At 34.2% G+C, this 24,038-nt stretch overlaps 1 long non-coding RNA gene and 1 pseudogene across 1 annotated transcript in view; both read right to left on the reverse strand.

Moving 5' to 3' along the window:
* Positions 1-24,038, reverse strand: part of LINC02307 (long intergenic non-protein coding RNA 2307) — a 395,530-nt gene that overhangs the window by 75,643 nt on the left and 295,849 nt on the right. The gene's annotated exons all lie outside the window — the stretch shown is intronic.
* Positions 11,162-11,708, reverse strand: EIF4BP1 (eukaryotic translation initiation factor 4B pseudogene 1; annotated as a pseudogene).

The raw sequence follows: 24,038 nt of genomic DNA on the forward strand, positions 1-24,038 counted from the left end.
GAAACCCTAAAATAACCCAATTTAAAAATGAGGAAAGAACATGAAAAGACATTTTTCTAAAGATGTCATATAAATTGTCAATAGATATGTGAAAATTTTTCAACATTGTTAATCATCAAGGGAGTGCAAATCAAAACCACAATGAGATATTACCTTATACCTGTTTGGATGGCTATTATGAAAAGACTTATTTTGGAAATAATGTGGAGAAAATGGAAACCCTATACATTGTTCATGGGCATGTAAATTGGTGCAGACATTGAGGAAGAAAGACAGTATGAAGGTTTTTCAAATATTTAAAATAGAACTACCATATGGTCCAGCAATCCCATTTCTGGATATATATTAAAAGGAAATTAAATCAATATGTAAAAGAGACATCTGCACTCCCAAGTTCACTGCAGTATTATTCACAATATCCAAGATATGGAACCAACCTAAGTGTCCATCACTGGATGGATGAATAAAGAAAAGTTGGTATATATAGACAATGAAATCCTATTCAGCCTTTTAAAACAAGGAAATCCTATCATTTGTAACACAATGAATGAACCTGGAGGACATTATGTTAAGTGAAATAAGTCAGGTACAGAAAGGCAAATACCACATAATTGCATACGCAGAATCTGAGAAAGGCAAATTCATAGAAGCAGAGGATAGAGTGGTTGTTGCTACAGGAATAGGATAAATTAGGAGATTTTGGTCAAAGGCTAAAAAGTTTCAGTTAGACAGAATCAATATGTTCTGGGAAAAAAAATATTTCAGAGAGAAGATACTCTAATTCTTCATTCTTAAAACTACACCCAAAAGCAAGGCAGAAGAAAATACATAGAAACGCAGAACTCATTTCTTCTGAAATTCAAAAATATCTGTAACGCCTACACAGAAAAATTAGGAAGAGCTATCAGTTGCGATGAACATTGATCAGTCAGTGGAATCCCATCGAGAGTGTCCATCTTCGTTCAATTGCAGTTCTCAGAGTATGCAGCTCTCCCCAAAATAGAGTACATGCCAAGAGGTGAACAACAGACTGTCCTGGCTTGTGAATAACAAGATATGAGCCAAATACCTTACTATATTTTTTATTCAAGGAGAAGATTGTTAAACATCCTACTTTCTAAAAAGCAATTCTACTAGGCACAAACGCATTCACAGAGGAATTCTAAAATACTCCTTTAAGAAACTCATGGCTTTAATCCTATATAAACTGTTCCAAACATTGGGGAAGAAAAAAGAAAGCTTTTATTAATAATGCTAATATGCACTGCTCCAAAAAATAGCCATGGGTAAAAATCACAGCAAAAATACTATTCATGGTACGAATATGAGAACCTTCCAAATATTAGCCCATAGAATCCAGCAGCCAAATCACAAATGAAATTAGAACTTTTTTCAGAAATCTCAGGATGGCTCACTATTTGAAATAGTTTAATATATGTCACTATATTCCCAAGTCATAGGTTGTACATATAATAAAAGCCTATATTGCAAACTTATGGCAATTAAAAATGAAAATGCATTAAATATCTACAAAAATGGAAATGCATTAGAGGTCCATAAGTAGAGTTGTTGTAGCTAAACTATAGCACCTTCATACAATGAAATACTGAGCAGTTAATATAATAAAAATGAAATCTTGAGTGCACTATTACAAGGTATATTGTTGAGTGAAAAAATGCAGAACAGTACATATGTGTGGGTACCCACACATGCATATTATATGCATTTGTGAACAAAATTTAAAAATTAATGAGTATATATGACTGAAATGTATATACTACTTGCAAAAGAATACACAGAAAATTTACAATGTTGGGAAACAGAAAATGAGAAAACTATACTTTTCATTTCCTTTTAACATTTATAGCAATTGCATATATTACCTATTCAAAAATAAATGCAAATTTTGTAAGAAATACAGGTTTTCTTAAAGTGGCATGTAAAAGGGTAAGGCATTTTGGATTCCCAGCCGCTAAGAAACATTAAAAAATTAATAAAAGGACTAGTAAGCATGACCATTTTAAAATCACTCACTCTTTACTACACACAGCCCAAATAAGGCTGCTTCCAAAGAGCCTGTCTTAAATGCCTTACTTTGAAATAATGTACATTTCTTCTATTAGCCATAGCATTTTCTATAATGTACATTTCTTCTATTAGCCATAGTATTTTCTATAATGTACATTTCTTCTATTAGCCATAGCATTTTCTATAAAGTACATTTATTCTATAAGCCATGGCACTTTCTATACTTATACTGTACTTTGTGCCTTATATTATAGTAATTTATCTGCACACTCATTCTCTCACACCTTAGTACCTTTCTCATGCTATCAACTTTTCATAAATTTTTCTTGGGCAGTTATGACAATGAGGATTTTTCAGGAAGTCTTGGGTCAAGCATTATTTCCTCTAGAGACTTCTATTCTAAGTTTTTAGTTTTTTGAGAATTTCTTCTCCATTCTTCTATGAACATCTTTATCTTACTACATATCATAACCCAAATTACTATTTGCAAGTTTATTATCCCCTCTAGGCCATTAACTCTCAGGAAGCATGTTACATGTATAAGATCATTCAATCATGACCACAACCCTCTGATATAGGTACTTTACCCATATCCTGCTGATGAGAAATCTGAAGCCCAAAGATACTAAATAATTTGCCCAATTAAAAATTAATCAAGACTGGATTAGACTCAAAGTTGTCTGATTCTATTGTTGTACTTCACTTCTATGCTATGCTATTACTCAGAAGTTAATATTGATATTAACATCTAGAGTTTTGGTGCTAAGAAATAGCATATAACTTCTGCTTTCAAATAGGAAATCATTGAATGCATTTTCCCTCATGGTGATGATATTCCCTATCTAGTTCTAATTAGACCCACTGGTCACCTTGAGAATGATGATTAGTGTTTCTAATACTAGCCTAAGTTATACGCATATAAGAAGTTGCTTTAAGCTGGTATATTTAGCTTCAAATTAAATAGTTACTGGAAAAAAAGATATAGGGAAACTGTATTTCTTAAATTTTCTGCTATAATTTCCTGAAAGGATAAGAATATAATGGTACAATAAAGTATGATGACTCAGTGTCTCCTTCATTATGCCAATGAAAACACAGTCTAGTATCTTCGTCTTGTCTATTTTAAGGTGAATGTTAAGTTTATACTGAAATGAACTCAAAAGAGATTACATAATCTTCACTTTTTTATGTCACTCATTATATTCTGCAAGTTATATCAGAAGTTAATTCTTTAAAATATTCCAAAACTAGTATTGGTTTTTTCCTATAATCTTAATAACTCATTGTTGGGAACAACCATTTCACTTGTTCAAGAAAATTTAAAAAACATGTAATGTGGTTATGTTTACCTCAAAAGGGGAAGATAAATTAAAAAAGAAAAAGATTCAAAAAGAGGCACAACTTGTTAAATTATTTCCTCTTTGATGACAAGAACCAAGTTTAGGAACTATAATCTCAGAACTTAAACTCTTGTCATCATTTTGAGAAAGGAAAAATAATAATAATATAAACCAGAATTGAAAGTAGTCATTTCTCCTCAAGGAAGCAATTTTTATTCTTTTAATTTGTCAATCAGGTGACAATATGTAGCTTATTAATATAAGAACCAGGGGTTTTATTTCTAGATTTTGATCAGAAGTGTTGATACCACGAAGCTTCTGAATAAAACTAAGTATTTTGCTTCCTTCCTTTGGTTAAATTTGGAGTAAAAAGGTAAGTGGGTATATCAATACATTAATTTTGTGCCACTCTTGGCAATAAAATTAATAAATGACCAAAAACTTCAGTGTGATCATTTTATTCTAAACCTGTAACTTATGTTAAAAACATATTCTGGCTATAAAATAAATTTTCATGTGCCAAGCACCAACAGGAGTTTACCATTTATTGGTGTGCCACCAGGGCATCATTCCAAAAAAGGATTTTCAATCTGTTCTCGCATCACGTAACATGCACAAGTAGCTAAGCTCAAGGCAAAAATGTTGTATGAATGCATGTTTCTGAAAGAGCAGCTGGCTTGGAGTCTTAAAATTCAGCTCAGTATCAAAGGAATAAGTTTAATGCAAGCCCAAGTGGGACTGCTAGCTTATGTCGATTACCAGCTGTCATGGAACCAAACTTCAGGATTGCATACTGCTTCCTGTCCTTAAAAAGATTCACTAGTTTGAAGCAGAACACATGCTTTTGTTTTGCCTTATTTTATTTTGGTACCAAAATTTACTATAATTGGATACTTTATTCAATATGAATACTTCTTGAGTTTTCAGGGAAATAAAACTTTGAAATAGAGTAATAGGATTCTACATTATCACAACTTTGGTGGATCCTTTCAGGGGTACCTTATTTGGGTGACCTATGTGCTATCCTCCCTTGAGTTAAATTTCTAGCTGCACAAGATTTTAAATTTTTCATATTATTAAGCATCTAAAACCGTGCATTTTGAAAACTGAGGTTAATGGGTATCCTCCAAATAATTTATTTGCTTCCAAACTCCAAAGTCAATACATTTACTGCAAGGATCATTATTTTTTACAATATTATATTTTAGATGGTTAGTACAGAATGTAACTAATTTTCATAACATGATGAATACAACCATTACATTCTAGTTTGATATTTTATAAGGGAGTACACTTGGCCTTCTTAATGCTTCTAGGAGTTTAATCCTTAGTACCATCACAGATTAGCATTTACTAAATGTTAAATAAAATATAACCAATGGTTATGTGCTATATATTTCTAAATATGAAAAATGCTTATTATATCATAGAAGGCATCATTTCAAAGTAAAATGTATCATAACTTACCTAATAATCTTGACTCAGAATTTTTTTAATGTCTAGGCAAATCTACATATCAGTACAGAGGAAACAACATGGTTGACATTCTATTGGAGTCACTTAAATTAATTTTACATTTCTGAGGCTATGTTATTAGAACACAATGCCTAAGGTCACAGGGAAAGACCTAATACCATTGTATTTCATGAAGGAATCACTGAATATATTCTCCGAGGAGTACATATGGAACTGCCTCCCTACCCCTCCCCTGTTCCTTGTCTATATACTGGGAGGTCTTTTCTTTGGTAACATCTATGCTCTTTAAAGTTGCTCCCTTGCAGCTGATGACTGACTTTCACAGTCAGTAAGTTCTAACTGGCTTGTTTTATTACTCATTGAGAATAGAGCTCAAGGTTCTATCCTTTCAGATCAATATTTTTGTTTTATGTTTGCTATGTTATTCACAAGTTTCTATAAAAGCTTCTACAAACTACCTGGAATCATTTGCCAGAGAAACATGATAGACTTTGCTTCATATTGTGTGTTTCTTTTTTTAGTTTATACAGGAAAACACACAGGGACTAGAGTAAACCACGGTGATTATAAAATTAGATTCCAAAAGGAGGTCATATATTATCATACACACACACATACACACACGTGTGTATCTAATATATATTATATGTAATAAGTAATTAATGAAGCACACATGGACTGTTTCTACTGGAAATATTTGGTCTATTTAAAAATTCTCACCTTTGTTTATAAAAAATCCTAATGTCTAAAAGCAGATTTTCATTGTATTCATAGCTCCTTAAAGTGTGAATAAATTCATAATGGAGTAGGAGGTCTTTTTTATTAACTTTAAGAATTATTATTCATAATAAAAATCACATGTAAAGATATGCTGCAAACAATTAAGCTAGAGAACATATCTTGACCCTTGATTTTACAACTTTTACTCATAGGCTACAACAAAACTCTGAGAGAGTAATAAAGTTTACAAAAACATTTAATTCAAGAAACTATGCAATACAAATAAGCAAACTCTACAAATTTAGTTAACATAAGAGGTAGAAGCAAAGGTATGTTGCCTTAAAAATTATTAAGAAGCTTAAAAAAGAACCCTAATGATGTCTTAATTCTTAGTTCTATATTTACTCATGATTTGCATGAACCAATATACATGAACACTAATTAATATAAAATATATTTAAAGTACTTTAGATTTTTATTGAATATGTTGCAATCATCTTTATCCATTATTCTTGAAGAAGCTTTGATTTTTTCCTTCATGAAACCATTTATGTAAGAATGCCACACATCTTATACTCATTTAGATAATTGTAATTAGACTATAACCAGTTCTGTAAACACCATTTTCCAAATAAATTGCTTCTACTGAAGCTACCCAATAAATTTTAAATATATCAGAGAAAAAAGTGCTCTGATGTCATTATAGCCAGTTTAAATCCTAGAACTACATAAAGACTTTGTTTAGGCCTTATTTTAATGGATTAGTCCCCAACTTTCTCTTGCTCTAGTCTCCAGGCATCCAATTCATATGTTAATTAGCCATCACTTCTTTAAATGCCTCAAAATTGATCTTTTGGTCATGTGCAAAAGAATAAGTAAATAAAAATTTTTATTTGCTTAGTTTAAATGGAACTAATAAAATTACATTTTAAAATATTTTATGTTTGAATCTATCACCTCAATTCAATTGGAATGTATTTTACTAAACTTCTCTTCTTCCAATAAGCTCAGTCATGCATGGTTAGAAAATCAGCCTCAAAAGTAGATTATACATATCTTACTTTAATAATCTTCAGTATACAGCTTAACATGTGGAATCAGGCTGACATCTCTAAAGTGATAAATCTATAATCTTAGCAACAACTGGAAATCATCAAGGTAGATAACATCCTTTGCAGCTAATTTTGTCATAGATGTCAAATTTTGCAATTGAATTTCCACATTGGGCATAATTATACACCTTGGATGTAAAAACATCAGGAAAATAATACTTAATAATTATTTATTCATGGTTAATATTACTCTAAGTACTGTCAATAAGTCCCAAATTAATGAATTTTAAACACATACAATTGTTCAAAATTTTGTGCTAGTTATAGAAAAATTAAATTAGTAAAGCACTTGATATCGCAAATTAGTCTAAAGAGTTGGGTGCTTATGGTGGACAACAAATAGGTGTCTCTTTTTAATTATGTAAGAGAAATGAAAGTATCTGGAAAAATATGTAATGCAATGGAAAATAAACAAGCACAATGCAAATTAATAGAAGTTAAATTTGTAGCTGTCTATTTAATTTATGCATAAAAGAGTCAGAAAGTAGGCTTCCACTTTCTAGAGATATGATACACCAACAGAATCTTTGATAAATCTTATAAATGTTAATTTTCCCCACAGTGGAACTAGTGTTTCTGATTAGCTAAAGTAAATAGTTATGTGCAAGTACGAGTGGTTCTCAGTGGTAGTACTTTTTCTTTTTCAAACATTATAAAGATTTAAAACACAAACATTGCTCTATACCCTTAGGAAAAAAATTGAAATGAGATTCCAGAATTCAGGTTGTGTTTTAATTTTGCTAATAATTAGCCTTGTGCTATATATCTTAACATTGATTCTATATCAATAAAATGCATAAAATATTAGGGACTTTAAAGGGTATCTTAGAATTTACAACAAGCTGTATTTTTAAGTGAACTTTTTGCACCCAGCTCTCATTAATGTAGAAATCCTTCATCTTGGAAAATCACAGTATAAAAGAAAATCTCCTTTTTTCTTTTTTTTAGTATAATGATGATACTCACATGTTCACAATTACAGAGAAAGAGAGAAAGAGATTACATAAGATGTGGTCCAGTGGGGCAGGGGAAGAATATGTTTTTGTGATTATGTAATGATACTAATATGGCCCAAAGTTATTTTATTTTAAAAATGACTACACTTTTAAAAGTATAAGACATTTTCAAGTCTATTATTTAATATCAGAGATATAACAATCCTGTAAGTGACATAGGTACATTCAATATTATCATAATCTCAATGATCAAGAAATTACATTTGGTTTCTTATGAAAATGCCACACACATAGTAATGTCAGCTAGTGCACCAGATAGGAAACTCTCTGATTCCCACCGTATTGCTAAATTTCCTCCACCATTACAACTGGCACACAGCTTTGGTGGAAAACCTGCCACACACATTTACTGCAGCAAAGAAAAATCTGAATGGGTAGATCATAGTTAGACACCAGTTCACCCTGCCTTAGAGAAAGAGTGTGCTGTCTTAGTTTGAATTACCTCCTCACCCTTTACCTTGTCAAGTTCCATTTTTTTCTTATCATGTCTACCACTAACTTTCAAAAATGAAAAGGATTGCATCTTCTGAACTTCTGCAGTCTACTGGACAAAGTATTCAGCTTACATTTACTATATGGAGACTTACATTGTTATTTAACTTTCTTGTGTTTATTTCTCATTTCACCAACTAAATCTCAAAAACTGGAGGGTTCTATGTTTATAAAATCTGTCACTCTGCCAGTGACCTGACATCTTCTCTGATGAACATCTTTCATAGTATTTCTCATAAAGGTTGTTTCCGCATATTCTGATTCCAAAAGTTTGGAATTTCTGGAGGATCATGATGACTTTCACCCAGATACCCCAGAAGCTAGACAATAAAAAACACTAGTGAGTACTCAGTAAATGTTCAATAAAGGAATGCATATATGTTCAACAAATGTCTATTCTGCATTTTATAATTGAATCAGCCAAGCATTTATTTAATCTAAAAAAATGAAAAACAACTCTTTTAACTGATGTTCTAAAATAAGGTAAGATTAAAATTAGGGACATAAAAAATTAGAAGTTTGTTTTTATTAATTTTGGTGGATTCTATTGAACTTTTGTTGGAAGAGAATACTAATGAATCACTGAGCATAGTTCATTTAGAAAAAATATATATAGAAAGTTGAATTATCAAGCTAAATAAAAATGTTGCATTCGTGATGTTTGTGGATAATCGACAGACCCAACGAAGAATTTGTTTAAAATGTGTTTTAGAGTTAGAGATTAATGATTTTGTGGTCAATTATGACCAACTCTTCTAAGGTCATACAGCACTTTTTCCCAACTCACATGCGAAGAAGAGAAAGAAAAGTCAAACTTATTTATTTATTTTTATATTTTATGTTTTATTTTTATTATACATTAAGTTCTGGGGTACATGTGCAGAATGTGTAGTTTCCTCATACAGTTATACACATGCCGTAGTGGTTTGCTGCACCAATCAACCCGTCACCTACTATCCATCCCCTAGCCCCCTAACCCCAAACAAGCCCTGGTGTGTGATGTTCCCCTCCCTGTGTCTATGTGTTCTCATTGTTCAGCTCCCACTTATGAGTGAGAATATGTGGTGTTTGGTTTTCTGTGTTTGTATTAGTTTGCTGAGAATGATGGTTTCCAGCTTCATCCATGTCCCTGCAGAGGACATGAACGCATCCTTTTTATGGCTGCATAGTATTCCATGGTGTATATGTGCCACATTTTCTTTATCCAGTCTATCATTGATGGGCATTTGGGTTGGTTCCAAGTCTTTGCTATTGTGAACAGTGCTGCAAGAAACTTATGTGTGCATGTGTCTTTACAGTAGAATGATTTATAATCCTTTGGGTATATACCTAGTAATGGGATTGCTGGGTCAAATGGTATTTCTGGTTCTAGATCTTTGAGGAATCGCCACACTGTCTTCCACAATGGTTGAACTAATTTACGCTCCCACCAACAGTGTAAAAGCGTTCCTATTTCTCCACATCCTTTCCAGCATCTGTTGTTTCCTGACTTTTTAATGGTTGCCATTCTAACTGGCCTGAGATGATATCTCACTGTGGTTTTGATTTGCATTTCTCTAATTACCAGTGATGATGAGCATTTTTCATATGTTTCTTGGCCACATAAATGTCTTCTTTTGAGAAGTGTCTGTTCATATCCTTCTCCCACTTTTTGATGGGGTTGTTTTTTTCTTGTAAATTTGTTTAAGTTATTTGTAGATTCTGGATATTAGCCCTTTTGTCAAATGGATAGATTGCAAAAAATTTCTCCCATTCTGTAGGTTGCCAGTTCACTTATTTAAAAATGACTACGTAAATAGTTCTCTCCATTACTATTTATTCTCTCAAGGGAAGCTTAAAGAATAAAGAAGAAGAAAAAACAACACATTGGTCTAGCCACCTCATCAATCCAACAAGCATTGTTGTGGCATTTTAGTGGAGAAGGAAACTTGGGGGAAAAGTAACCCATCAAGGCTATAAGAACGGCTCCCAATTTAACCATCCCTGTCCCTATTTATCCACCTTTATTCACCACCCAAGACCATCCATTATTCTGGAGCACTCACCTATAAAAGTGGTCAAAGCATCAGAAGCAGGCAAGGAGTGAGAACGAAAAGGCATCAAGAAACCGATTTGCTTGAGAAAAGCAGAGATTCTTCCTTTCACAGTTCTCCATGGCTGAGAGGGAAAATGACCAAGAGATCATCTATGTGACTTAGAGACTCCTTCTGGGGAGGTTAAGAGTAGCATGAAGAATTTAAGATGACAACAAGAGTCTAAATTTTTAAAGTTTCAAGTCTAAATTTTTAAAGTTTCAAGGTTTCAACAGAATGTGGATATATTTGAACCTTCAAAGGACAATGTTTAGAAAGGGTAAAACCAGGACACACAAAACATTGGGAATTACCATGACCCCCAAGTGCTTCTGGCTCCAGGTAATAACCATTCATGTGTTTGCTGGATGTTACACAATTTTCCCCTATTACCTGGTACAAAATGACTCATCACCATCACCTCCCAAAAGCTTATTTTCAAACCACGATTTTCCCATTTATTTTGGTCCAATGTAGTCCTATTCTTTATGTCCTACAGACTCACTCCCAACTACCCCTCCGGGTGTTAAAAAAAATGAAGGAATTCCCCTTAGCCTGGACCCCAAAACTCAGAATTAAATAAGAGGAGGGGCTGGAAGCCTCCTGGAGACTAAAACGACTTGAGGCTAAATCTATCTTTCCAGGAGTGGAAAATTTATTCAGATAATGTTTGAGAATTCATATATGCCACAATAGGATAAAAACTGAAAGGTAGAAATCTCACACTTTTCCTTGTACCTCCCTCCCCTACTGCCCAACCAGATTCCAGACTTTATATCAATGTCATTACCATTTCTGTTAAATGGAGGCCTCTTAGGCACTAACCACACTGGCAACTTCATGGTGACATAAGGCACCACAACTTTTCCACTAAAAAGCTGTAGCCTCTTTCTCTCTGGCTGTATTGGCGATCTCCAGTTACTTCAATACTGTAAAGCCTGTGGAAGCATACAAAATAATTTCTTTTTTTTTTTTAAAGAAGGGGTAAGAAAGGTCTCCAGGAGATGGTGAGTTTTATTTTGTCTTGTCTGGATAGAGATTTGATTTGCTCTTAAATGTTCCAGGATGAAGAGAAACTAGGAGAAAGCACAGGATGTAGAGGTCTATTCAACGTAATCTTCTCCCTCGTTTTTATCTTCACCATCAATGGAGAGAGCAGCATACTTGCTTGCAGAACTGAACTTGGAAGCTGCATTTTCCTCAGGTTTCTTTGGCTTAGGTGCAGATCTGGAGTCTTGATCCTTTTTGCCATTTTCCTATCTGACTCCTTCCAGTGGTCTTTATTCCCTCCGTCTCCTGGACCACAGCTAGAGTTCCCAGTTTGGTCTTTTGGGACCTTGATCCCATCTGCTTTATTTTCATCTTTCCTTGCTGGTCCTTCCTCAGATGGTTGACCTGGAGCTACTTTTCCCCCACCACTTGTCAGAGATTGCTGCTCTGTGTCTTAGCTCTTGCAACACAGTAACTAAACTTTCCTGCTTTTATGTGCATTGTTGTAGGGATCAGCTTGGTAGACAGTATTAGCAAAGAAATGACCCCGTGAGCTTGGTTTGCAAGCCCTTCTCCCATCAGTCCTAGATTAGGCCCTGGTCAGCTATGCAGGGGTTTTGGTTTATGCATGCTGCAGCAGTGAGCATAATGAATATAATTTACTGAGTGGACAAAGGTGTGTACCAAGTGAATTTAAATAATTGGTGTGGATTGGCTAGTAGCTAAGAAGTGGGCTTTTAAAGAGATACTGCAGATTAAAAGGTTTATTTTAAAGAAAAACAAAACCATTGATTGTAGATAATGAAAAGCTAGGGTTTGCCCTCTTCGTGTCTACTTTCCTTCCAAATAGTTGTATCCAAAACTGTTTTTCCCTCTCCCCTAACTTGCCCCCTGTTAAAGCAGAAATGGGGATTGATTAATGTCCCGTTCCTGAATACATGTAAAATTTGTACAAAAATATCTTCTATGAAAATGATTTGTCATCTGTAGACTTATTACCTGGGAGATGTCTTGAGATGTAAAAGCTCATCCTTTGGGTTGTGTGTTTTTTGTTTTCTCCAAATAAATCTGATCTTTAAAGTTCAAAAAAAAATGACTATGTATATAAAACTTTAAATTTTAAAAGCCCCAAAATATTTGCAAATCTGCTAGCCCCTTAGTGGTTTCGGTACTTGAATTTCACGTTCTTTCTATAGTAGCCTATAACCCAACATGAATAGAAAAGTTGACTACACATGTTCTCTATCGCTAACAAATGGAAGTTGATTTGCATTTTACTAAAGTAATCCATATAAGTGAGGGGTTTTGTTTTCATTTTAAAATGTCAGACTATGTATTACTTAATGCTTTTCAAAACAAGCATATTATGTTTATCATCTTAAGATATTTAAGAGCTGCAGCCCTGTATTTTATATGATAAAGCCCCTACATAAAAGATAATACTAGACACATTAAAAATATTCATTTTTAGGGATATGTTAATTCAATTGTTGACATTAGACTGATAAAATGAGGTGATGCTGCAAAATTACTTAAAATTCTAACAGGAAAAAATGTTCTCACATAGGCATGCCTAGATATAAAAAAAATTAAGATCAATGAAAATTTCTGCTTGATTTTATATGACATGATAATATTAATAGCTCACATTTAATAAGCACTAACTAATTTCATCACTAAGTTCTTTAAGGTTTATTTAACCCTGGCCTTAACACTTTTAAAAATTGTGATGGTATTTTGATGCTGTTATTTCAAAATAATGTTTATTTGCTCTTTTTTGGCAATGAGCTTTTCCTTTGTCTCTTTCTAGTTTCACTATGATATACCTCCATTTACTGCTTAATACTGTTTCTTTCGCCAGTTCATACTATTCTGTGGGATAACATATTTTCATGGTGTCAAAGTATAAATTTGCATTTTCTTCAACACCGTTGTTTGTTCATCTCCACTTCTTATATGTATCTCAGATGAGCAGTGCTTAGCAGAGATACATATACTTAAGTATATGTAGTATGTATACATATACTTAAGTATATGTAGTAAGTATATCTACATATATTTAGTAGAGATACATAGAGAGTGTAGGAGAGAGGGAAAAAAGGGAGAGAAAACAACTAAATTGAACTTGAATCAAAAGAGCCGCCAAACTGACAGCTCCATTACTGTACAAATTGCACAGATTAATCTTATGGTTAGATTTAAGTTATTCATACTGGAGCAAAATTTCCAGTCAAAGCACTCACAGTTCTGTGAAGCCAGTGTGGCAAAAGTGGCCAAAATGATTAGTGACTTTGTTGTTGATATATTCTCATCCATCTATAAAACAAATATTAAACTTCTTAATTTTTTCATCTATTTTTCTCTGCCACTTTCTTGAATAATGACTAGTAATACCACCACCACATCCTAACACAGACCTTCCACCTACCTGGTATGAGCCCAGCAGACCAATCTATCAAGATGCCTTGTGTATATAAAAGCACAATCAAAAAACATATGCTCAAGGCTGTTGAAATGCTACCATGCACACCTCTCAAGATAATTACAGACATCAGATATTGTTCTACAGTAGTAACTTTCACAATTTATTGCCTTTGAGATTGAATTGTTCATGTTAAAACTCTAACTAATATTTAACTTTGTATACAAAGGACAATAACAACATCCTTTCTTCAAAGTCTCTCAATGACATGACACATTTACATTTAGAATAATATGCAAGCTATTTTGCACAACACTAGAAATACTACTGGTGTTCAAGAGAAATCTAGTAATTTTTTAATATATGGATTTTTGTGAAATTATGAGGATTTAAGATTTTAAGGTTAGATTAACTTTTTTCTTGTGAGTCTCTTTCCCTACTTTTTTTTAAGTATACAATGGATAAATTCCATTTATCCTTCTTATTACAGAGAAACTTGTTGCCTGTGTTACCTAGTTGTGATGGTAAAAATAATAAATACTATATAGCAGTAGATACTGTTTAGTCATATTAAATCATTTAATGAAATATGGCATTAACTTCATGATTGTGGCAGATAAATAACTTATAAGGAAATGCTTAAAGTAGGTAACAGACACTGGTGTGCTTTCAGAAATACTGAACAAGTTAGGACTGATAAACATATCAACATTTGCACAATTATAGAACAGTTACAGAACGAACTTTTTCATATACACACATCTACCTACCACTATATTGGACTGCAGACTACAGAACTTACCACACAACAATGCAGCTAATGCAAAATACAATTTTTAGATATCAGATATCTGAACCAGATGGTTCACCATATTAAGACATAGGTTTAGAGCACAGATGTCCTTGTGCTAGAATCAAAACAGCACAGCTCTCCTCTATGCCTCTAGAAAATGGTGTTAGCCTTCCAGTCAGACAAGATGCTGTGACAAGAGGCTATTTCTGTTGCTAATGGAATGAGGACAGAAGTACTAACTGGAAATCATGTTTCTATTTTTCCTCACCATTCTATTTTGCTTCTCTCTCTTCATCTCCTTCCACTTATACTCTCTTCTTTTTCTCTCCTCCCCAGTACTGTTCATCTAAAAATAATTCTCATATCCCAGAGTTTTATAAGTCTCCGTTTTTTAAAGAAATGTTCTACAGTTTACTGTACTTGGGCAAGAAAAACCTCAAGAGTAGGATTTGAGTAGATTCTTATATAATATTATGATTATCTGATTATATTGATACATGAGGTTAAAAAGCAAAATAACAAAACCACTCAAAGATATCTGGATAAATTCCTCAAAAATGCAGTGAAACATTTGGACAGTCGAAAAATAGCTGCTATCAACAAAAGTCATCCATATACCAGTATAATCCTGTTCAGGACAGTGTAGTCTTGATTCAGCAGAAATAGTATGCAACCTGTGGGTCAAAACAGTCATGCTAAAAATAACAACAGAATGCCCAGGGACAATATAAACCAATGCCAAGAAATACAAGGCTTGCAAAATCATCCAGAAGAGTCTAAAACATGACTATCCTTAACTGCACTGAAGTCCAACATCGAATAATGTCATGATTCCTACATTTGTCTGTTGAGCTTTCCCCAAAGTCATTATTGATCAATTTTAAAAGTTGCCTGTTTATCAAAATAATACCTGCTCATTGTATTTTATGAGCAAAATAATACATGCACATAAAAAAATTGAAATATACAGAGTGTAAAAATCCTTCACTCAGTTTGAATCCAAATCACAGAACCAAAAAGATTTTTAAGAAAAGCCTTCATTAAAAAAAGAAAAAAACTAAAATCAAAAAATTATTATTGTTAACACTTTGACATGTCTTACATATGTACTTAGTTATTTGATACGGGTCTTACTCTGTTGCCGGGACTGGAGTGCAGTAGAGCGATGTCAGCTTACTGCAACTTTGACAACCTGGTCTAAACGATCCTCCCACCTCAGCATCCAGAGTAGCTGGGACCACAGGCATGCCCCACCACACCCAACAAGTTTTACATGTTTTTAAAAATTGTATTAGTTTTTGAAAAAGTGATATTCCTATTGTATTTAACATATGAATCTTGCCTTATATTTGATTGATGGAGTAATTTACTTTTATATTCACCTGTTTGGGGAAATTTAAATGGTTTCTTCTATTTTACCAAAATATTGTTCAAAACATTAAATGGGCATCACTTTTAAATACTGGTTAGTTGATAAATGCTCGTTAGATTTTTATAATTATTACAAAAGTATAGTAAAGGCCTGAACATCACCAAAATATATTGGGTTATCATCCATTAGTAGTAAATGCTAGAGTGTGCTTCCTATATTCCTCACCCCGTTAGATAAGGCACTTATTCCCTGAGTTGCTGGGAGTATCACCTACTATTTGATGATATCAAGACTGTCTTGTGGTTTTGTTTGTTTGTTTGTGTGTTTGTTTCATAAGACAGAGTCTCGGTTTGTCACTCATGCTGGAGTGCAGTGGTGCAATCTCAGCTCACTGCAACCTCCACCTCCCAGGTTCAAGCAATTCTCCCACCTCAGCCTCCCAAGTAGCTGGGACTACAGGTGTGTGCCACCATGCGAGTTAAGTTTTGTACTTTTAGTAGAGACAGGGTTTCGCCATGTTGCCCAGGCTGGTCTTGAACTCCTGACCTCAAGTGATCCACCTGCCTCAGCCTCCCAAAGTGCTGGGATTACACGTGTGAGCCACCATGCCCGGCCTCCCAAGACTTTTTAATTTAATTTACAACTCTGAGGGACATTCTAGCTGTAGAACTTCACATGGAATTGCAGTACAACCTCTGCTGTGCCTGTTCTTTCTTCCTTCCTTCATTCCCTCCATCACAGGTCTTGGTACTGAGAGTACCATCCAATAAATTTCGGGCAAGTCAACCTTATTTCAGAGACAATTTATTGCAATTTTTGCAAAACCCCAAAAACTGCAGGAAATAGTGTCTGTATTATTATTTAGTTGGAATTTGTAAGTTGTTTTGATTTTTTTCTGTTTCAGATTCTTTCTAATTTGATGGTGAGGTCTGTCTTTTGACAGTGGCCATCGCCAAGATAGTCACTTTCTAGGAGAGCCCTTACAGGAGAAAGTTAGGTTTTAGTGGGTCAACCAGGTAAGACACAATAAGGAAGTAAAAACCAAAATGCACGAAACTGAAGAAATTTATTACCCTAGGTTCTCTAGAGGTTAGGGGTGTGGATAAGAAGTTTGGAGACAACAGGGAGCTCAAGCAGCAAATTGGGAGTGGGGACAGAACCTGTGGAACTATGCCTTTATTAAGTTCTGTGGGTATTAGCTCTTAGGCTTTCCCATGGGAGTTGCAGATTGGCTAACTTAAAGAAAACACACTCCATTCAGGACATAGGCATGGGCAAAGACTTCATGTCTAAAACACCAAAAGCAATGGCAACAAAAGCCAAAATTGACAAATGGGATCTAATTAAACTAAAGAGCTTCTGCATAGCAAAAGAAACTATCATCAGAGTGAACAGGCAACCTACAGAATGGGAGAAAATTTTTGCAATCTACTCATCTGACAAAGGGCTAATATCCAGAATCTACAATGAACTCAAACAAATTTACAAGAAAAAAACAAACAACCCCATCAAAAAGTGGGTGAAGGATATGAACAGACACTTCTCAAAAGAAGACATTTATGCAGCCAACAGACACATGAAAAAAATGCTCATCATCACTGGCTGTCAGAGAAATGCAAATCAAAATTACAGTGAGATACCATCTCACACCAGTTAGAATGGCAATCATTAAAAAGTCAGGAAACAACAGGTGCTGGAGAGGATGTGGAGAAATAGCAACACTTTTACACTGTTGGTGTGACTGTAAACTAGTTCAACCATTGTGGAAGACAGTGTGGGAACTCCTCATGGATCTAGAACTAGAAATACCATTTGACCCAGCCATCCCATTACTGGGTATATACCCAAAGGATTATAAATCATGCTGCTATAAAGACACATGCACACATATGTTTATTGCGACACTATTCACAGTAGCAAAGACTTGGAACCAACCCAAACGTCCAACAATGATAGACTGGATTAGGAAAATATGGCACATATACACCATGGAATACTATGCAGTCATAAAAAAGGATGAGTTCATGTCCTTTGTAGGGACATGGATGAAGCTGGAAACCATCATTCTCAGCAAACTATCGCAAGGACAAAAAACCAAACAGCACATGTTCTCACTCATAGGTTGGAACTGAACAATGAGAACACTTGGACATCAGAAGGGGAACATCACACACTGGGGCCTGTTGTCGGGTAGGCAGAGCGGAGAGGGATAGCATTAGGAGATATATCTAATGTAAATGACGAGTTAATGGGTGCAGTACACCAACATGGCACATGTATACATATGTAACAAACCTGCAGGTTGTGCACATGTACCCTAGAACTTAAACTATAATTAAAAAATTTAAAAAAAAATGGAAAAAAAAGAAAAAAAGAAAAAGAAAACACACATAAAGGAGGGAACTTATTTACATGGCTCTAGTGTTGACCACCGGGTTTTATCCTGTTTAACACCTGTGGAGTCTGTTGTGTTTTGAGCCAGTGTGATTAGGATCATTCAGGGCTATATCACAAAAAAAACACTCAGGAAAGAGAACATTTAACTAGGCCCAAAGTGACAGGGTACAACTGGGTTTCAAACAACTTAGGCTTAAAAATGAATGCCAAGGCAGCAATTATATTAAACAAATATATAAAATAAATAATTTATTAATTTATGACCTGTGATTCAACTAGTGATTGTCTATTGCATATCCAAAATTCATTGGAAAAACTATGAATTTCTTAGTTTGTGACATTGTAAATAAAGAAAATATACAGTCTATTCATGACTTTGCATCATATGAATTTTTGTGTTTACCTATTTAATATTCTTTGCCTTTTGACAATAATACAATCATTAGTGTTTCCTGTACATGTTATACAGCTGATTCATAATCACGGTAAAAAGCATCATACATTTCAGTTTTTTATAGCTGTATGTTCAATTATGTTTAAAGTATTTAAAAGTGGAAAAAGACAAATCCTACTTTTAAAAAATGTTAAGAAAAAAATGTTGAATTCTTTGAAGACGCTGAGATGCAGATCTATTTTTCTGTATGAAGGAGTGTGTCTAAAGAAATTAGCAGAATAAGCAGGATGCATATAGCAATTTCATTAACCTAATCACACAATAATCAAAACCTGATATGAGTCAAGGATGACAATGCAAATAAAGTATCACGTATCTTCTTAATAATTTTGACATGAGATGGAATGAAAGGATGAATTAAAAGAAACCCAGTTATCTAAGAAATGTCATTTTTGTTCTAAATGTGAAAGAAATATAATCCACTCAGGAAATTTGTTTTGAATTAACATAATTACTAAGTGAAATCTGATGCATTATCGCACTAGAACAAAAGTTTGGAAAATGTTCACTAGAAAAGCTTTTATTTTATTTATTTTTGTTTAAACAATAGAAATGTATTTTCTCGCCACTCAGGATGCTAGAAAATCCAGATCAAGGTCTTGCAGGATCAGGTTCTGAAGAAGGCTCTCTTCCTGGCTTCATACAGCCACCTTCTCACTGTGTCCTCACATGCCAGAAATCTCTATCTCTCCCTTTCCCCTTTTTTGCTTTTATAATTTCAACTTTTATTTTAGATTCAGGGGGTGCATGTACAGATTTGCTACATGGCAATACTGAGTGATGCTGAGGTTGAGGATATGAAGGATCCCATCACCCAATTAGTAAGCATAGTACCCAACAGTTAGTTTTTCAACCCTTCCTCCCTCTCATCCCTCCCCCTCTAGCAGCCCACTCTTAGAACTGCTATTTAAGACAGTACTGGCAGTCCTAGCCAGAACATTTAGTCAAGATAAAGCAATAAAAGGTGTCCAAATAGGAAAAAAAGAAGTCAAACTATTTCTCTTCACTGATGACATGATTCTACACCTAGAAAGCCCCAAAGACTCTGTCAAAAGCTCCTGGAACTGATAAGCAACTTCAGTAATACCAAAGTCAGTGTACAAAATTCAGTAGCATTTCTATTTACCAATAATGTTCAAGCTGAGACCCAAATCAATAATGCAATCTCCATTAAAATAGCCACAAAAAATAAAATTCCTAGAAATACACCAATCCAAGGAGGTAAAAGATCTTCATAAGAAGAACTACAAAATACTGCTGAAAGAAATCAAAGATGACATAAGCAAATGGAAAAGCATTCTGTGCTCATGGATTGGAAGAATATATGTTGTTAAAATGACCATACTGCCCAAAGTTATCTACAGATTCGATTCTTATTAAACTACCAATTGCATTTTTCGCAGAATTAGAAAGAAAATTATAAAAATCATATGGAACCAAAAAAGAGTCCGAATAACCAAGGCAATCCTAAGCAAAAAGAACAAAGCCAGAGGCATCACATTACCTGACTTCACACTACACTATAAGGCTACAGAACCAAAACCGCATGGTATTGGCACAAAAAGAGAAACATAGACCAGTGGAACAGAATAAAGAACCCAGAAATAAAGCCACACACAAAGCCATCCGATCTATGACAAACTCAATACAAAGAAGAAGTGGCAAAAGTACTCCCTGTTAAATTGATTGTGCTAGTACAGCTGACTAGCCATATGTAGAAGAATGAAACTAGACTCCTACCTTTCACCATAAACAAAAATTAACTCAAGATGGATTAAAGATTTAAATGTATGACCTCAAACTATGAAAATCCTAGAAGAACACCTAGGAAACACCATTCTGGACACTGACCTTGGAAAAGAATTTATGCCTAAGTCCTCAAAAGGAATTGCAACAAAAACAAAAATTGATAAGTGGGACCTAATAAAACTGAAGAATTTCTTCACAGCAAAAGAAACTATCAATAGAGCAAACAGACAACCTACAGAATGGGAGAAAATATTCACAAACTATGCATCCAACAAACTAATTTTATTTTGTTTGGGTATTTACCTAGTAGTGGGATTCCTGGATCATATGATAGTTCTATTTTTAAATTCTTGAGGAACTTTCAAACTGTTTACCATTATGACTGTACTAATTTACATTAACAGTAACAGTGCACAAGAATTCCCTTTCCTCCTTATTCTCACCAACACCTGTTATCTATTTAATAATACTCTAATAGGTGTGAGGTGATATCTCACTGTGATTTTAATTCCCATTATCTTGATGATTAATAATGTTGAGCACCCTTTCATATACCTGTTGGCCACTTGTCTATCTTCTTTTGAGAAATGTCTACTCAGATACTTTGCCTATTTTTTTTTCTTTTTTGAGATGGAGTTTCACTCTCGTTGCCCAGGCTGGAGTGCAATGGCATGATCTTGGCTCACTGCAACCTCCTCCTCCCAGGTTCAAGCGATTCTCGGGCCTCAGCCTCTCGAGTAGCTGGGATTACAGGCATGCACCACCATGCCCAGCTAATTTTGTATTTTTAGTGGAGACAAGCTTTCTCCATGTTAGTCAGGCTGGTCTCGAACTCCCAACTTCAGGTGATCCACCCGCCTTGGCCTCCCAAAGTGCTGGGATTACAGGCGTGAGCCACCACACCTTGCCCCATTTTTATTTATTAATAATTTCAACTTTTATTTTAGATTCAGTGGGTACATGTGCAGATCTGTTACACAGGTATATTTTGTGATGCTGTGGTTTGGAATATGGGTGATCCCATCACCCAGGTAGTGAGCAGAATATCCCATCGATAGTTTTTCAGCCTACACCCTCCCTTCCCTCTCCCTTCTGCTAGTCCCCAGTGTCTATTGTTGTCCTCTTTCTGTCCATGTGTACTTGGTGTTTAGCTCCCACTTATAAATGAGAATGTGTGGTATTTGGTTTTCTGTTCCTGTGTTAATTTGCTTAGAATAATGATCTCTAAGGGCTGCATCCATGTTGCTGCAGGGGACATAACTTTGTTCTTTTTGTGGCTGCATAGTTTTCCATGGGGTGTATGCACCAAATTTTCTTTATTCAGTTCACTGTTGACAGGAACCTAGATTTATTCCATGTCTTTGCTATTGTGAATAGTGCTGCAATGAACATACAAGTGCATGTGTCCTTTTGGTAGAATGATTTATTTTCCTTTGGGTATATATCCAGTAATAGGAGTGCTGGGTCAAATAGTAGCTCTGCTTTAAGTTCTTTTAGAAATTTCCAAACTGCTTTCCACAATGGCTGAACTAATTTACATTCCCACAAACAGTATATAAGTGTTCCCTTTTCTCCATGGCCTTGACAGCATCTGTTGTTTGACTTTTTAATAATCGCCATTCTGACTGGTGTGAGATGTTATCTCATTGTGGTCTTGAAGTGCATTTCTCTGATAATTAGTAATGATGAGCTTTTTTTATGTTTATTGGTTGCTTGTATGTCTTCTTTTCAGATGTGTGTCCATGTCATTTACCCATTTTTAATGGGGTTGCTTTTTTTCTTGTTGATTTGTTTAGGCTTCTTATAGATTCTGGATATTAGACCTTTGTCAGATGCATAGTTTGATGTTTTCTCACATTCTATAGGTTGTCTGTTTACTCTGTTGATTGTTTCTTTTGCTGTGCAGAAGCTCTTAAGTTTAATTAGGTCTCACTTGTTTTTGTGATGTTTCTCAGATGGATAGTTTGAAAATATTGTCTCCCATTTTGTAGGTTTTCTCGTCACTTTGTTGTTTTCTTTGCTGTGAAGAAGATTTTTAATTTCTCTTAATCCCATTTGTCTAATTTTGCTCCTGTTGCGTGTGCTTTTGGGTTCATATTCAAGAAAATCATTGCCCAGATAAATATCATGGAGGTTTTTTCCTATGTTTTCTAGTAAGTTTCACTGTTATGGGTCTTACATTTAAGACATTAAGCCATTTTGAATTTTTTTGTAGATTATGTAAGCGATGCGTATCATTTCATTATTTTACATGTGAATAACTAGTTTTCACAGCATCTTTTATTGAAGAAAATGTCATTTCCCTGTTGCATGTTATTGGCACCTTTGTCAAAAAAAAAATCAGTTGGCTGTATTTATTTTTGAGGTCTCTACTCTGTACCATTGGTCTATGTTCTGTTTTTATACCAGTAACATGCTGTTTTGAGTACTGTAGTTTTGTAATATGTTTTGAAGTCAGGTAATGATGTTTTAGTTTTTTGCTCAATATTACTTTGACTATTCAGGGTATTTTATGGTTCTATACAAATTATAGGACTTTTTATTTCTGTGAAAAAATCAATGGAATTTTGATAGGGATTGCATTGACTCTGTGTATCACTTTGGTTAGCATACACGTTTTAACAATATTAATCCTTCAAATCCATGGATGTACAATTTCTCAATTTTTGTGTGTTTCTTCTTTGATTTTTCATCATTTCAGTGTACAGATCCTTTACCTCTTGGTTTAATTTATTTCCAAGTATTTTATTCTTTCTGGTGCTATTGGAAATGAGGTTATCTTTATTTCTTTATTCTTTTTCAGATAGTTCATTGTTAGTGTATAAAAATGCTACAAATTTCATACGTTGATTTTGTATCCTATAACTTCACTGACCGTTTATTAATTGTAATAGGTTTTGGTGGAGTCTTTAGACTTTCCCACATATAAGACCATGTCTGGTAACGGAGACAATTTAATTTCTTTCTTATCAATTTGAATGCTTTTTATTTATTTCCTTTCTGGCCAAGACTTCCAGTGCTATGTTTAATAAAACTGGTGAGAGTGGACCTCTTTGTCTTGTGCTTGCTTTCAGAGGAGAAGCTTTGAGTATAATGTTACCTTTGTAACAGGTATAATGTGACCTTTATTGTGTTGGGGTATATTCTTTCTATACTTACATTGTTGCAAGTTTTTATCATTAAAGGATGTTGAATTTTGTCAAGTGATTTTTCTGCAACTATTGAGATGATCATACAGTTTTTGTCTTTCATTCTGTTCAGTGGTATACCACATTTATTGATTTACATATGTTGAACCATCCTTGGATGCCAGGGATAAATCTTTCTTTATCATGGTGAATGATTCTCTTAATATGCTATTAAATTCAGTTTGCTAGTCTTTTGATTGAGAATTTCTATAGCTATATTCATAAGGATATTGCCCCTAAATTTTCTTTTCTTTGAGGTTCCTTGTCTGGCTTTGGTATCAGGATAATGCTGGCCTCATAAGATGAGTTTGGAATTATTGCCTCTTTTTTAACTTTTTAAGAGAGTTTGAGAAAGACTGATATGAATTATTTAAATGTTTGATAGAATTCAGCAGTGAAGCCACCAGGTCTTGGGCT

This window comes from Homo sapiens, chromosome 14 (assembly GCF_000001405.40).
Source record: "Homo sapiens chromosome 14, GRCh38.p14 Primary Assembly".
Classification (NCBI taxonomy): Eukaryota; Metazoa; Chordata; class Mammalia; order Primates; family Hominidae; genus Homo; species Homo sapiens.